Source organism: Homo sapiens, chromosome 20 (assembly GCF_000001405.40).
Source record: "Homo sapiens chromosome 20, GRCh38.p14 Primary Assembly".
Lineage (NCBI taxonomy): Eukaryota > Metazoa > Chordata > Mammalia > Primates > Hominidae > Homo > Homo sapiens.
In genome coordinates this window covers 63312181-63326179 of record NC_000020.11, presented here as the reverse complement: position 1 = coordinate 63326179, position 13999 = coordinate 63312181, and the positions used below count along the sequence as shown (strand labels likewise).

The 13999-nt window shown below is 61.5% G+C and overlaps 1 protein-coding gene across 3 annotated transcripts in view, besides 1 other annotated feature; it reads right to left on the bottom strand.

The window, feature by feature from the left end:
• The window catches only part of COL20A1 (collagen type XX alpha 1 chain), a 41621-nt gene that overhangs the window by 8627 nt on the left and 18995 nt on the right, over positions 1-13999 (bottom strand). For 2 of the 3 annotated variants that reach the window (XM_011528937.2, XM_011528938.2), the window contains exons 15-31: positions 13631-13760; positions 13246-13388; positions 12931-13063; positions 12289-12437; positions 11979-12108; positions 10741-10779; positions 9489-9627; positions 6980-7122; positions 6584-6693; positions 5983-6141; positions 5812-5889; positions 5081-5167; positions 4069-4122; positions 816-911; positions 686-739; positions 459-512; positions 31-84 (exon numbers count right to left, since the gene is read on the bottom strand). In XM_011528937.2, the coding sequence (XP_011527239.1) occupies positions 31-84; positions 459-512; positions 686-739; positions 816-911; positions 4069-4122; positions 5081-5167; positions 5812-5889; positions 5983-6141; positions 6584-6693; positions 6980-7122; positions 9489-9627; positions 10741-10779; positions 11979-12108; positions 12289-12437; positions 12931-13063; positions 13246-13388; positions 13631-13760 (1752 nt within the window). The remainder of the gene's footprint in view (positions 1-30; positions 85-458; positions 513-685; positions 740-815; positions 912-4068; positions 4123-5080; positions 5168-5811; positions 5890-5982; positions 6142-6583; positions 6694-6979; positions 7123-9488; positions 9628-10740; positions 10780-11978; positions 12109-12288; positions 12438-12930; positions 13064-13245; positions 13389-13630; positions 13761-13999) is intronic. The other variant, NM_020882.4, reaches the window with a different exon arrangement.
• Positions 4742-5242: an enhancer, noted in NCBI's record as "H3K4me1 hESC enhancer chr20:61952290-61952790 (GRCh37/hg19 assembly coordinates)". NCBI's record gives its function as "activates a minimal SCP1, AML or CMV promoter by ChIP-STARR-seq in naive H9 embryonic stem cells {active_cell/tissue: H9 hESC(naive)}" and the evidence as "EXISTENCE:reporter gene assay evidence [ECO:0000049][PMID:30033119]".

Sequence of the window (13999 nt, the reverse complement as noted above, 5' to 3'; positions counted from 1 at the left end):
GGGTCGGGGTCATGGGAGGTCGGTGCCTACCCTGGGGCCAGGGGGTCCAGGCAGGCCAGCAGTTCCCTCCAGGCCTCTCATTCCCTGATGGCAAAGGAAGGCGCAAGCTGGGTGGGGTTTGTACCTGTACCCAGCCCTCCCATGGTGACAGCCCCCCAGCAGCACCCAACACACCCTGTAACCCAAGCAGCAAAGGTGAGGCAGCTGAGGCTGCCAGGCTCCTACCCAGCCACTCCCCCACCCACCCTGCCTCAGTGACAGCTCCTGCCTGGGGTGGGCTGGAGCTCTCCAGCCTTCTGGCCAGGCCACAGGCTGAAGGGGGTGGTGCAGCAGGTGAGGCAGGAGCCCAGGAGAAAGCACCTCCCCCTCCCTACCCCACAGCCTCCATCTCCAAGGCCCCCCGTCCCCAGGCCAGTCTCTACCACCCTGACAGAACCCTCCAAGCCCAGAGCCGGCACCTTTGGTCCCTGGAGGCCAACTCTCCCGGGGATGCCCTGGTGGCCGGGGTGGCCCTGGGAGAGAACAGAGGGGCCGGCCAGGCAGGGGCCAGGGTCACATCCAGAGGTGGCCCTGCCTGTGAGGCCTCACCCCCAACCCCTGTGCCCCCCAGGCACTCCCCATCTCCATCCCTGTCCTTCCCCCACCCCCACCAACCCCTGTGGCCCCCTGGCCCCAGCCACACTACCTGCAAGCCTGGAAGCCCATGGTCTCCCTTCTCTCCTTTGACCCCTGGTGGACCCTGGAGGGGGAAGATGGGCTGGACAGCGAAGCGGAGGGGGCACAGGGCAGGAGGGCAGGGAAGGAGTGACACCTACCACAGGCCCCTGGACTGCACGGCCCTGGGTCCCCGGCGAGCCCTGCTGGCCTCCAGGACCTTCTGGTCCCATCTGTCCGGGTGGCCCGGGCTCTCCCTGGAGACACAGGCAGCGGGTAGGGCCTGACAAGGTCACGCTTGCCACCCCTCCTGTGGCCCCTCTGGGTCACAGCCAGCCCTCCCAGCCCTCTGGGCATTCAGACCCAGACCGACATGGAGACACCTCCATTAAAGGAGCAGGGGCAGCCCCAGCACCCTCACTGCTCACCCTGGGAGGGTCTGGGAGAACCCACAGCAGGGGTCTGCAGAGCTAGAGAATGGCAGAGCCAAGCCTGTGAAGCCAGTTCCAACCAACCTCACCCCCAGCCCTCCCCTGCCCAACTCTGGGTTCTAACGGGGTGTGGGGGGCGCTGCAGAAATCACCGAGGAAAAGCCAGAGACCCCCACAGGCCAACTGTATGGAAGAGACAGAAAACTTTCTTAAGCCCTGGACCCCAAAACACTAGACTCAGGTTTTATGGGAAATCCAACCCTGTGGGGCAGAGGACACTGCTGCTATTTAAACTCAAATTATCTTTTGAACAAAGCAAACTGAGGTTCCAAACACTATAAAGAAAACTGTGACAGTCTTATTTAGAAGCATCAGTGCGAAATCCAAAACAAAATGTCAGCAAGCTGAGCTCTGCAGCACATGGCATGGATAACGAGAATTCAGCGACCACGTCAGATTTTCGACGGATGCAGCAATCATCCAGTATTTAGGGATATCCTACAATTAATAGCTCCAAGACGCACAGTCATTTCATTATGTCCATAACAGCACTAGAGCTTGTTTAATGTGCATTCTTGGTGTTTTAAATCTAATAAAAGAAGAGTGGATGGACTTCACTACCACATGACAAAATGCACCTGTCTCCGCTTCCAGGACAGCACTTTAATGGTCAAATGCTAGAAGCACTTCTGTTAGGCCAAGAAGAAAATGAGAGTATCTGCTACTGCCACTGTTCTCTGACAAAATTCTGGAGTATTCACCAACACCATTAGACAAGAAAAAGAAATTTGAGTGATCAAGACTGAAAAGCCGAAGGTGAAGTGTTTATTTGCAGGTGATGTCACTGTAAACCTGGAAAATCCAAGAAAACCACAAAGAAGATAATTGAGAAAGAAAACTGGGTACAAAAGTCATACACAGCGGTCACGGCCAGTGTGAAAATAATGAGGTAGAAGCTGTAATGAGAGAAAACACCTCACTTATAATAGCAACAAAAAAGAGGACATACGTAGGGATGAAGGAGAACCGAGTGGGTCTGTAGGAAGAGACCATCCCCACACTGTACTGAGGGCCACAACAGGCCCTGTGAACAAAAGGCAGGATGGCTGTGTTTTTGGATGAGAAGATTCAACATCATGAAGACATCATCTGTTCCCGAGTATATCTATAAAGCGAATGCAGTTCCAGTAAAAACACCAACTGAATTGTTTAGGTTAAACGGATAAGTCGATTCTACAGTTCACTGAACAATGAAATAAGCAAAGAGAGCCAGGAAAATTCTGGGGGAATAATACAAAAGAGGACCAGCCCATCTGGCATCGACATCTTAAAGAAATCTGTAATAATTTAAGCAGCACAGCCCTCGCCTGTGAACAACAGACACATCAACGGGACAGACTGGAGCATCTGAAAAACCCCAAAATACACAGGGGCCTTAGGACAGCACGAGAGCCAGGGCGTTCAACTTCTGCAAGGGGCTGGCTGTGTAATGAACGACTCAGGCGACCAGGGGTGGTCTGTGAAGAGGTGAAGCTGGAGTCCTCCCCGTCCTCTGTCCTCCCCAGTGCTGTAACAAAATCAGCTCTAGACGAATCCACCTGGGAGTGTCGAAAAGTGCCTGGAAGCACCAGGAGGAACCAGGAGGAGGCGCGATTTCTACTCTCGGAATAAGAAAGATCTTTTAAAACAGGATACAAAATTCAGAAGCCATAGAACAGAGCAGTAACATGGACTACGTAAAAGTTATTTTAAAATCTGTATGGAAACGCACGTCGCAAACAAGGTCAAAAGACAAGAAAATGCCAAACGCAGTCAAAACTCACATCACAGACACAGGGCTGGTTCCAGCAAGTAAAAAGCGTGCCCACAAATTATTAAGAAAAAAGAACGGTGGAGAAGAAGTCAGAGGACATCTCCAGCAAGAAAATATTGGCAACTTTCAAAGGGCATTCACGCTGCTTGGAAGAGAAATGCATTTTCATCTATCAGACGCGGCTCCCAAAGCAGCCAGGAATGCAAGATGGGGGTGGGAGGTCACCGCTGGCTCGTCGCGGGGGAGCGCCTCGCACGGCTCTGCCGGGCCAGTGTGGGGACATCCACCCCAAAGCACAGGGGCGTGTGCCCTTCCACCCAGCGACTGTCCTAGGGACTCTGTGCCTGAGATGTGCTCTGAGGCTCCAGCACAACCGCAGACAAAGGGAATATGGCAGCGCAGGTGCAAAAGGACAGCCCCGCCAGAGCCAGGCGCACGTCTTTGCTCACGGGGATGTGGAACTCGCTGGAAGGCTGCCGGGGGAGAGGTGGGTGTCGGGGTCGGGAGGAGGGCGGCCTTGCTGCATGCCGACCACGCCTTCGGCATCTGTGTCACGCTTGTGCAGTACCGTGGTTTAGGTAAATGTTTAGAATCGAGCCTGGAGGGCGGCCCTTTGGCGCCTGGGGTGGGGGGCTGCTGCCATCGCTGGGCGCGCTGTCTTCAACATCCCTCTCCGCAGAACCAGAACCTCCGCCCCCGAAACACCTCCCTGCACGCCGCGCATGCGCTGAGCCTAGAGACATCTGAAAATACTCTGTGGGCCTAAGCTCCTGGGCCCAGCCCGGCACACAGAAGGCATCTGGCTCATGCCTGCCCCATGGAAATCAAGGGCGGCCTTCAGGGCCAATAGGACAGGTGGCCTCACCTCCCCAAGCCTCAGATTCCCCTGCTGGGCCATGGGGTTCATCCTCCCTATCTGGGTGAAAAGGGGACTTGCACCATAACCAGGCCTGGGCCAGGCGCCCTGCAGGCACATGGGGGAGGCCAGCCTAAACCCCCTGGACTCCTGGGGTGCTGGGGTCCCTGCCTGTCTGCAGCTTGGGGAGACCCCACCCTGCCTAGGGAAGCTGCGTGCAGCTCCCTGCACTCTCAGGAATGCACTGGGAGGGGTGTTCTCTTCTGGTAGGTACGATCCAGGCCCCTCACCTCCCAGGGCTCCCCAAAACTTACCCTGGGCCCTGGGAAGCCCTGCTCTCCTGGGGTGCCATTCCTCCCAGGGAGGCCCTGCAGAGGCACAAACAGGGCTAAGCCCCCAGAACTACCCAACCAAGGTAGAGGAGCAAAGACCAGCCCCTGAGCCCCATGCCTGGCCCACCCTGAGCCCCATGCCCCACCCAGCCCCAGACTGTCCACTGCTGTCAAGGGGAAGAGAAGGGGTTTCCAGGGCAAGGACGCACTAGCCCATCCTTCCCTCTCATAGTCAGGCAGTTCTGGGTTCAAACCCCGGCCCCCTGAGTAGACAAGGCTGTGGACACTGAGCTCAGAGAGAGTGTGCTTGACCGGTCCCAGAGCCAGCTCTGGAAGCCCCAGCCGTCACCTGTGGGGCGCTGGAACCTTGGGGTGAGCAGAGGCAGCTGCAGCCATGGCAGGTCCAAGGACCTCTCAGGACCCACCCCATGGCAGGGGTCCAGGCCTGGAGGGCCGCCTCCCTGAGGCCTGGGTAGAGGGCCCGTATAGCTCCTGCTGCAGGTGAGCTAGGCTGCCAGCACCCAGGACAGTGGCCGTCCAAGTGGCTGTGACTCACAGCCGGCCCACGTCACACCCTGTGGCCACAGCACAGTTCTGGATCCCAGTTGCGCCTGGATCCGTCCCAAGCCTCACACTTCAGAAACACTGGATTCCACGCCAGAGGAGGGTTCGTGGGGGAGGCCCAGCCTGGGGGAAGGAAGGAGCTGCGCCTGGCCCCCCTTCCCAACCCTGACAGTGAGAATCACTGGATTCCGCACTAGAGGAGGGTTCGCAGGGGAGGCCCAGCCTGGGGGAAGGAAGGGGCTGGGCCAGGCCTCTGTCTCCTGGCCCAGGGCGGGCACAGCAGGGAAGAGGCTCATGAAATACATCCCAACTCTGCGGCAGGACGGGGGCATGGACCGGGGCGGGAGGGCCTGGGTTACACATCCACCAGTGGCAGCAATACATTGGCCAGTGTTCCCTGGTCACCCCAAGGAGACGCCACTGGACTCACTGGGGGTCCTTGAGGTCCTGGGGGCCCAGGGGTCTCTGAGGAACAGGAACAGGCAGACACGAAGGCGGGGCAGGTCTCTCCATCCCTCTGGAAGAAGAGAGACCCTGCCCATTAGAGAGACCCTCTCCCTGGCTCTTGCCTGACCCTAGAGCTGAGATTAGCCAATGACACCTGGGCTCCAGGGAGACTTCCAGACCCGCACCTGGGAGGCAGGGGCGAAGGTCAGGGGCCCAAGTGCATAGTGGGCAGGTCCAGGACTCAGGCCACTGAGCCCCTGTGTGTCCAGCCGGCCCTGGGTTCCCACCCTGCCACGCTGTCCGCATGAGCCCCAGGACAGAATGGTGCCTTCTCCCTCCCTCTCTCCCGTCTGGGCCCCCAGTATGGCCAAGCCCAGCACAGGGTATACAGAGGAGTCACTGAGGATGAGAGGGGCTCTCTGGCCTGGCCACGTGCCCCTTCCTGACTCATCTGCACCTGGCTGGGCCCACAGAGGTGGGCATGGCCCTGAGTGCAGCCAGGGGTTCCCAGCCTGCCCCAGGGCCTCCAGGACTCTCTGTCCAGCCCCTCTGGGCTCATCCACTGGCCCTGAGGCTGCCTCCTCTGAAAGCCTTCCCTGATCTCTCCCAGCACGGTGACAATCTGGACAGGCCAACTGACCCCAGGCACTGTGACCCTCAGTGGGCACTTGCCCTAACTTGCTTCGTGGAACAGGGGCAAGGGACGGGGCACACCGAGGCAGGGAGCTCACAGCACCGGTCCTCATCGGCCCAGGTGTCACTGCACACGATCTGCAGCATCTGGAGCTGAAACTGCAACGCAGGGGAGCCGGCTCAGCCCCGGGGCTCAGAGAGGCTGCCAGCCCCCACCAGCGTGGCCCAGCAGGTGGGCAGGGCCCAACTCACCGCGGCCGAACTGCTCCGGGGGCCCCTGGCCTTGGCCAGCCTCCCCAGCGTGACGAAGCCCGCAGCGGGTGGGCTGCCCATCTCCCCAAGGGGCCGCTCAGCCACCTTCCGGCAGTCCACATAGAGCCTGACCTTGGAGCGGCCCACAGCCACGTGCACCTGTGAGACGGCACGGGAGGTTCTCCACAGCCCAGGCGGGGCCGGTGCCCACCTGAGCCCCCAAGGCCAGGCCAGGGCTGGGGAGTAACACCCATCCCTGGGACCTGGGGTCAGGAACCTGACCTCACCTCAGGTTTCGGGGGACCCTGGGAGAACCCCCCCTTGCTGGGCCTCGGCTTCCCCTCTGTAAAATGGACCAAATGGCACCTGCTGCAGGAGCCTCCCGGGGTCTGTGGGTCCCAAAGAGATGGGCTGGGAGGCTCTTCAACTCCAATTAAGATGGAAGAGCTGGGGTAGAGGAACAGAGCCCCAGGTCAATGTTCCCTCCCAAGGAAGGTCCTGCTCTCCTAGGGAGAGGAGTTGGCATCCGGCAGGTCCCTGTGGGGCTGGGCTGCCCCAGAGCTGGGGGAACGGGGGAGAGGGGCGCGAGCTGCACCAGGACCTTGTGGAAGCTCCCGAAGAAAATCTTCCTCACTTCCTGCGGGTCGAAGGTGGCCTCCTGCAAGGCAGCCCTGGGGTCACGGTGGAAGTAGGTCAGGGACTTCTTCCCGGCTGCCAGGGAAGGGGTGGAGCAGGTGAGAACGGGCTGCAACCAGCCGGGCCTATACCTTGAGCAGGGCGGCCCCCACGACAGGACAGGAGCAGCCCTGAGGGTGCCAAGCTGGAGGTGACCCTCAATGTGGCCCACAGCCCCCTGCCCGGGACACCTGCCTCCCACCCAGAGGGTGCTGAGGGCCTGGCCTGGAGGCTGGACTTCCTCTGAAGGCCTCCCAGGGCTCTGGGGCCTCCCTGCCCCTACTCCTCCTGACTGCTGGGGGCGACGCGGGGCCCACGTCACCATCCAGCAGAACCCCAAGGAGGGGCTGGAAGTCCTCGGCTGTCATCTGCCACAGCGCGAAGGCCTCACGGGGTGTCTCGGGAAGTAGGCGCACAAGGAAGACGATGGTGTGCTCTGGAGGTAGGGGGGCTGGGTAGACGTCACTGTGGGGGTTGGGGGAGGGAGAGGCACATGAGCAGACCCAAGGGCAGCCAAACCTGGCAGAACGATCCGCTCGCCCAGCCCCAGCCCCAGTGCCAGTCCCTGAGGCTGCTCTGAGGGTCATGGTGGACCCCTGCACCCGCACACCCTTCCCAGCTGTAGACTGAGCGTGGAGGCCGCTGGCTCCCTAGGAGCCCAGACTGGTGGTTCCACAGAGCTGAGGGTCTATGAGGCCACACTGGGGCCTCCCTGCCTTGGTTTCCCCATGAGTAACATGGGGTACATAAAGGACAGAATCCCTCCCATTGAATGAGGAGGATTCAACAGAAGTACTTGGAGGCGCCAGGCCCAGGGCCATCCCAGGTCACATCCCAGATGACCCCAGCAAGGGCTCACCAAGACCCGTGCTCCCGGGGCCCGTGAGGGTGAGGGGTGCCGGCCCAGGACACCCCACAGGGGAGTCTCAGGATCACTACTGAAAGGCAGCTCTGCTCTCGGGAGCAGCTCCCCCGACTCACACTCATTGGCACCGCCCAGTGGGTCCTGGCCAGTGCCCAGCCAGACACCCTGAGGGGTGGGACCAGGGTCTTGGTCCCCTAATGTTCCAGGAAGCAGGGTCTCGGGCCTCTGATAGAATCGGGGTCCAGGGAGCAGGGTCTCGGGCCCCTGATAGAATTGGGGTCCCAATGGCCGTAGCCTCCTATCTGTCTTCCATTCACTCTTAGGATGCCCAGCCACCTTCCTGCCATCCCGAGAGCAGACTGGTCTGGGGCCTGGGCACCTGTGATGCCACCTCAGGAGCCTCCCGACCCCACACAGCAGGAGCCCTCCTCTTTTGGTGTGGCAACCCTCACGGGGGTCCACCCTGGGTGGCCGCACCTGGAGAACCATCTGCCCCCACTTCTCAGGCTGTGAGCTCTGGAAGGGCAAACAGGCATGGGAAGTGCCTGCTCATGCCACAAGGCTGGGAGGAGCCCTCATTTGAGAACAGGGACTCATGGAAACAGCCACCCTGTGGAGGCTGCCTGGTCCCAGGAGGGTTTGCTTGAGAGCAGAGAGGTTGGGGAGGCACCCAGGAGGCCTTGAAGCTGCCTCGGGCTGCAGGCGATCAGAGCTCCCACCTCACCCACCCGTAAGAACACCCAGCTCAGTACGTGCACCTGAGGCCACCGAGGAAGAGGAGAGGGGGGCGGGGGGCGTCTACACCACCTGAGGCCATGGAGGAAGAGGGCTCTGCAGCCTGCTGCCCAGAGAGGAGGGCAGAGGGCAACTATACCACCCTGAAGAGAAACTGCCATGGGGGCGGAGCACAGGGGGCATGTGCAGCAAGACTGGGGGGAGGGAGAGGATGGTGAGGGAAGCCGGGGAACAGTCATCGAGTTCAGCCACGAAGACACCGTGGTGACCAGGGGGCCAGGGCCGAGCATAGCACATGGGCCGGCGGCTGTGTGGGGACAAAACAGGCTGGGAGAGACATTCCTAAGCCCCAACAGTGCTAGGTGAGCTTTTAAATATATATATTTCTATAATTTTAAAATCTCTGTTACAGAATATAACTCTCCTTTGTAACTTCTTTTTTTTTTTTTTTTTTTTTAAGGGACGGAGTATTGCTCTGGTGCCCAGGCTGGACTACAGTGGCACAATCCTGGCTCACTGCAGCCTCCGTCTCCTGAGACAGACATGCTCCCACCTCAGCCTCCCGAGTAGCTGGGAATACAGGTGCCTGCCACCGCACCCAGCTAAGTTTGTTTGTTTATTTGTAGAGATGGGGTCTTGCTGCATTGTCCAGGCTGGTTTCAACCTCCTGGACTTAGCCTCCCCAGTAGCTGGGACTGCAGGTGTGCACCACCACACCTGGCTTCCGCCTTTATCATCAACCATTTTAACTTAAACTGTCATGCAGCTTATATCACAGTTCAGGGTCACGATGAACAACTGTTCTCTGTAAATAAGGGAGGGTGGTCATGAGATATCAGGAATTGTCCCAAATCTCATGCAAAGCTATTTGAGTGATCGCTTCCTCTAAATCCGGCTACTGGCAGTTTGGCCCATCGCCTCAGGTCAGTCTGGGGCTCCTGCGTGTTTGATCAGCCCTCAGCTCACATGGGAAATAGATCCATACTTGGTTGCCAAAATATGCCAAGGGGCTGGCCTCACTCTGCCCATGGAGATTTTATTAATTTGTAAAATGTGAATTTCTGAAGTGTGAGTACTGGGGTGAGTCAGCCGTTTGCTGACATAGCAGCGCTGCCCTGTCCCACAGCCTCCAGGAGGTCTCCGGCCCATGCCCGCCCCCCCACCATGTCCTCCTAATCTTCAGCGGCCCCAGCCTGGGCTTCCAGCTCCACCCCAGCCCTTGCCCTCACACCTGACCCGTCTTGTCAGCTGGGCGTCCTTGAAGAGCGTGAAGGTCGGGGTCCCACCGAAGGCAGAGGGCTCCATGGCCACGCCCCGGATGGACGCATAAGCCTTTTCCACCAGGCTGAAGGCCACCATCAGGTCAAACCCTGGGGAAGATGGTGGGGGAAGGGGCACCGAGGGACCCTCAGAGATGGCAGGGGAGGGAGGAAGGGGCAGGAGCGGGGACTCAAGAGGGACCCAGGGGCTGCAGTGCGGTGGGAGGGAGGGGTGACGGAGCGGCGTGGGTGGGAAGTCAGCACAGGGGCTGGGGGGTGGGCAGGGGTCTGCTTCAGGCCCTGGGCTGGGCATCGCCCCCCACCCCTCCCCAGGGGAATCCAACACACTGGGAGGGGCCGCTCCCCAGGCCACCATGGTAAATCACTGGGCCAAATGCCCAGCTTCGGAGACCCAGAGATGGACAAGGTGGACGCCCAGCCCCCGATCATGAGCCCCAACTCCCACCTCTCGCCCCTGCCCCCCAGCAAGCCCACTGCACCGCGTCCCCCGCCCGCCCAGGGTCGTTTTCCCTCTGAGGAAGACTCTGTCAGTGAGTTCCCCTTTGCTGGCACACAGCGTGGCCAGCTCGCTCCATCCACCCTGCCTGGGGGCCTGCGATGACCCCATTCCCTGGCGAGCCCCACCGCGCAGAGCCGCAGGTGCCAGCCACCACCCTCGAAGCCCCAGCTCCTTTCCAGCACTAATTGGTACAAAGTGAAGGGCGAAATCCCATTCACACTGCAGCTTATCAGCGCTGCCAGCAGGCACCGGGCAGGAGGCGGCAGAGGCCGCAGCCCCTTCCAAGGCCTGTTTCAAGTAGGCAGTCCCTGCCTTCCCACCATCTCCACCTCTCAGCCCCTCTCTGGGGAGGGCCTCACTCTCAGGCAACTCGAATGAGAACCCCGGGCTCAGCACTTGAAACCCCCAGCTCCAGTCAGCAGAGACCCTGGAATGGGGCTGGAAAGGACCCAGCGCCCCCAGCGCTGCCTGGGCTCTGCCGGTTCCTGGCCCTGACCTTACATAACCTTCGGCTCCCTCAGTGAGAAGCAGGAATAACCACCGCCCAGCCAGCCACAGGGACGTCTGTGGAGGCACAAACCCGCCCAAACATCCTCCAACTGCACCACCACTGGGTCCCAGGTCACGACACCCTTGGCCCCCACGCCCAGGAAGAGCCCGAGAGACTGTGGGTGGGCAGGCAGGGGAGGGCATGCAGGACCCACCTGGGAGGGAGCCGTCAGGGCGGAGGGCTGGGCAGGCTGCTGAGAGGAGACAGGGTCAGTGTGAGTGGGAGCGGCCCAGCCTCCAACGCCTGACAGACCGCTGGGGAGGGGCCACTTCATGGACGATGCCCCAGCCTGTGCTCCATCTGTATAGGTGGGACTGTGCTATGTCCCATCTGCCACCCACAAGGCCTGTGGTCCCCACGCCTCCCAGAAAAGGAAGGGAACAGGGATGGTCCCTGCCCCTCTGGATCTCACTGAGTGAAGCAGCTGCCCCCAAGACAGCCCAGTGGGCCCCGGGTCGTACCAGGCATCTCACTGGGTGTGATACCCTTCGAGGGTACTGGTCACCCAGGAGTGCCCTGAACTGGCAGGGCCAGGGAGATGCCTGGTGTGTGGGCAGGCTGGGGGCACACGTGTCCTGGGGGCCAGGGAGATGCCTGGTGTGCGGGCAGGCTGGGGACACACGTGTCCTGGGGCCAGGGAGATGCCTGGTGTGAGGAGAGGCTGGGGACACGCATGTCCTGGGGGCCAGGGAGATGCCTGGTGTGCGGGCAGGCTGGGGGCACGCGTGTCCTGGGGTCCAGGGAGATGCCTGGTGTGCGGGCAGGCTGGGGGCACGCGTGTCCTGGGGGCCAGGGAGATGCCTGGTGTGCGGGCAGGCTGGGGGCATGCGTGTCCTGGGGGCCCAGGGACTTGGGTTTGCTCCATGGCAGGTGCTCGGAACCCTTCATGGGCAGAGAAGGCAGGAAGGAGCACTCCTGATGGGAGGAGCAGCTCTCCCCTCCCATGGGAAGGCTGCCTCGCCGGGGAAGCTGTCCAGGCAGTGAGGACCCCGTCCCCAAGGGCGTGCAAGCCAAGACTGGAAGACCCCACAATGGGAAGCCCAGAGGGAAGCTGGAAGGTTGGGATGGATGCCTCTCAGAGCCCTCGCCCTGGACCTGTGGTTCTCCAGGAAAACCAGCAAGAGACAAAAAACCAGCAACAGCAGCTCCCACCGTGGAAGACCCCAGGCAAGTGTGACCACGTCCTTGTCCCTGGAGAATCCAGGTGGGGCCAGCCTGGAACCAGTCATCTCCAGCCACCCAGGACCCCTGCCTGCCTGTGACCCCTGGGGTCAACTAGGTCTGGGGTTGGCTGGGTCTGGGGTTGGATGAGTCTGGAGCTGGCAGGGTCTGGGGTCTAGGGCCCGGCTGGGGCTGGGTCTACCTGGGTCTGGGGTCTTGGTGCCCACTCACCTGTCTGGCCCGTGGCAGACACAGCCTCACTCCTGCCTGCTGCATAGATAGCTGAGACCAGGACCCTGTACTTCGTGGCTGCCTGCAGGTCGGGCAGTGTCACGTGGCTCCTGGCTCCTGGCACAGAGACCTAGGAGAAGGGAGGGTGCCTGGTCCCCACTTCCTGGGCAACTTTGCTCGTCCACGCGGCTCAGCTGCCTCCCTCTGCGTCCCGCCATGGCAGAGCTGCCACCCTTCGCAGACAGTGTGGCCATACCCCTTCCAGGAGGCCCCACGAGGTGGGGCAGCCTCAGGCTCTACCAAGACTCACGGATTTCTCGGGTCCCAAGCCAGAGGCGGGGGCGTAGGTGAGCCAGTAATGGAGCACGCGGCCAAGCGGGGGCGTCCAGCTGACCTGCAGGCTGTCGGGGGTCTCCGAGGCCAGGGCCAGGTTGGAGGGTGGGCTCCTGCTCACCGTGGCTGGCCGAGAGCATGGGTTGTGTGGGGCTCAGGCCCCTCCAGAAAGGAGGCACCCGGTGGCCAGAGGACCAGCTGCCCAGCCCCTACCCTGCTCTGCGTAATGCCTCCACCACATCATGCCACACCCCTACCACAGCCCGCATCACCCCCCTGGCACAACCACACCACACCCCTGCCACTGCCCACACCGCACCCCACCACACCCACACCACGCCACCTGCCAGGGCCCTCACCATACCCCCAACCAGGGCTGCTGCCTGGGCTGCCCTGCGGGACACTAGGTGGTTTGTGCACTCGGCCACTGGGGGAACACCTATACCCGTGTGAGCTCAAGGAAGTGCTGCAGACTCCAACGACCAGGCCCAGTGATCAGGGCTCTGGAGCCAGCAGTTCTGGGAGTCTAGGGTCCTGGGCCTGTGCAGCGGGTGAGTCAGGGATCCCCTGGGCCATCCCTGCCCCACACCCAGCAGAGGGGAAGTGGAGGGGCACCTACAGGGGGTATAGCGGAGGGACACAGGGTCACTGCGGGCCCCGTCCCTGTAGTAGGCCAAGATGGTGACGTCGTACTCTGTGTGCCTCCCTAGGCCAGGCAGGACGGCCGTGCCGAGGTTCCCTGGGACAGAGATCTAGGGAGAGGAGAGCCCCAGGGGTCACCGGGTGCAGTGGGGTCCTCAGGTTGGGGGGCCGGGCAGTGAGGCATCCCTGGGAGACAGGGTGGGCGCACATATGGCTCTGAGCCCTAGACTTTGGCTTCAGGACTAGGGGCCCACGGGGGGCCCCTCGGAAGGACAAACCCACCCCTGCCCACCTCGTGAGCCTTCCCCTCTCCCAGGGGCGTCCACGTGATCTGGTAGACAAGCACGCCAGACGGGGCTGCGGCCACCCACGCCAGCTGGACTGCATCCCCTGGCAGCTCCGTCATGGACAGCTGGCTTGGGCTGGGAGCTTTCTCTGAAGGAAGTGGAGACACAGGCTGGGGGTGTAGCCCCTGAGCCTGGGCACCTCAGAGGAGGGGCAGCCACACCCAGGAGCACCCTATACCCCCATCCATCACACCCGTCCGGGTGCCCATCCCCACCTGGCTCAGCACTGACCCAGGGCAGGCTCCCAAAACACTTGATGTGAACTGTCTAGCAGGGCAGAAGGACACAGAAACCCTGCTGGACCCCCAGCCCCAGCCTCTCCCCACTCACTGGTGGTCACCCGGCCAGTCAGCGTAGAGGAGCCACCCCCAGGGTAGAGGCAGGTGACACGGACAGTGTAGGTGGTGGAGGAAGAGAGAGGCCCCAGCGTGGCCGAGGTGGCGTTCCCAGGAGCCTCTGTCTGCAGCAGGTGGGAGGGCGACATGGCAGGCCCAGCTGGTGCCTGGAGCCCTTGCTGGGGTGGAGAATCAGGCCCAGCACCTGCAGCCAGGACTACCCCACGACCCCCCAGAAACGGGGAAAATGGGCTTGTCCTGAGGGATGGGAGGGCAACAGAACTGCAGGACGGCTGGGGTGGGCCTCCCCAGCCTGGTTCCCCCCAGACCCCACACCCACATCTGCCCCCACACCAGGTGCCCC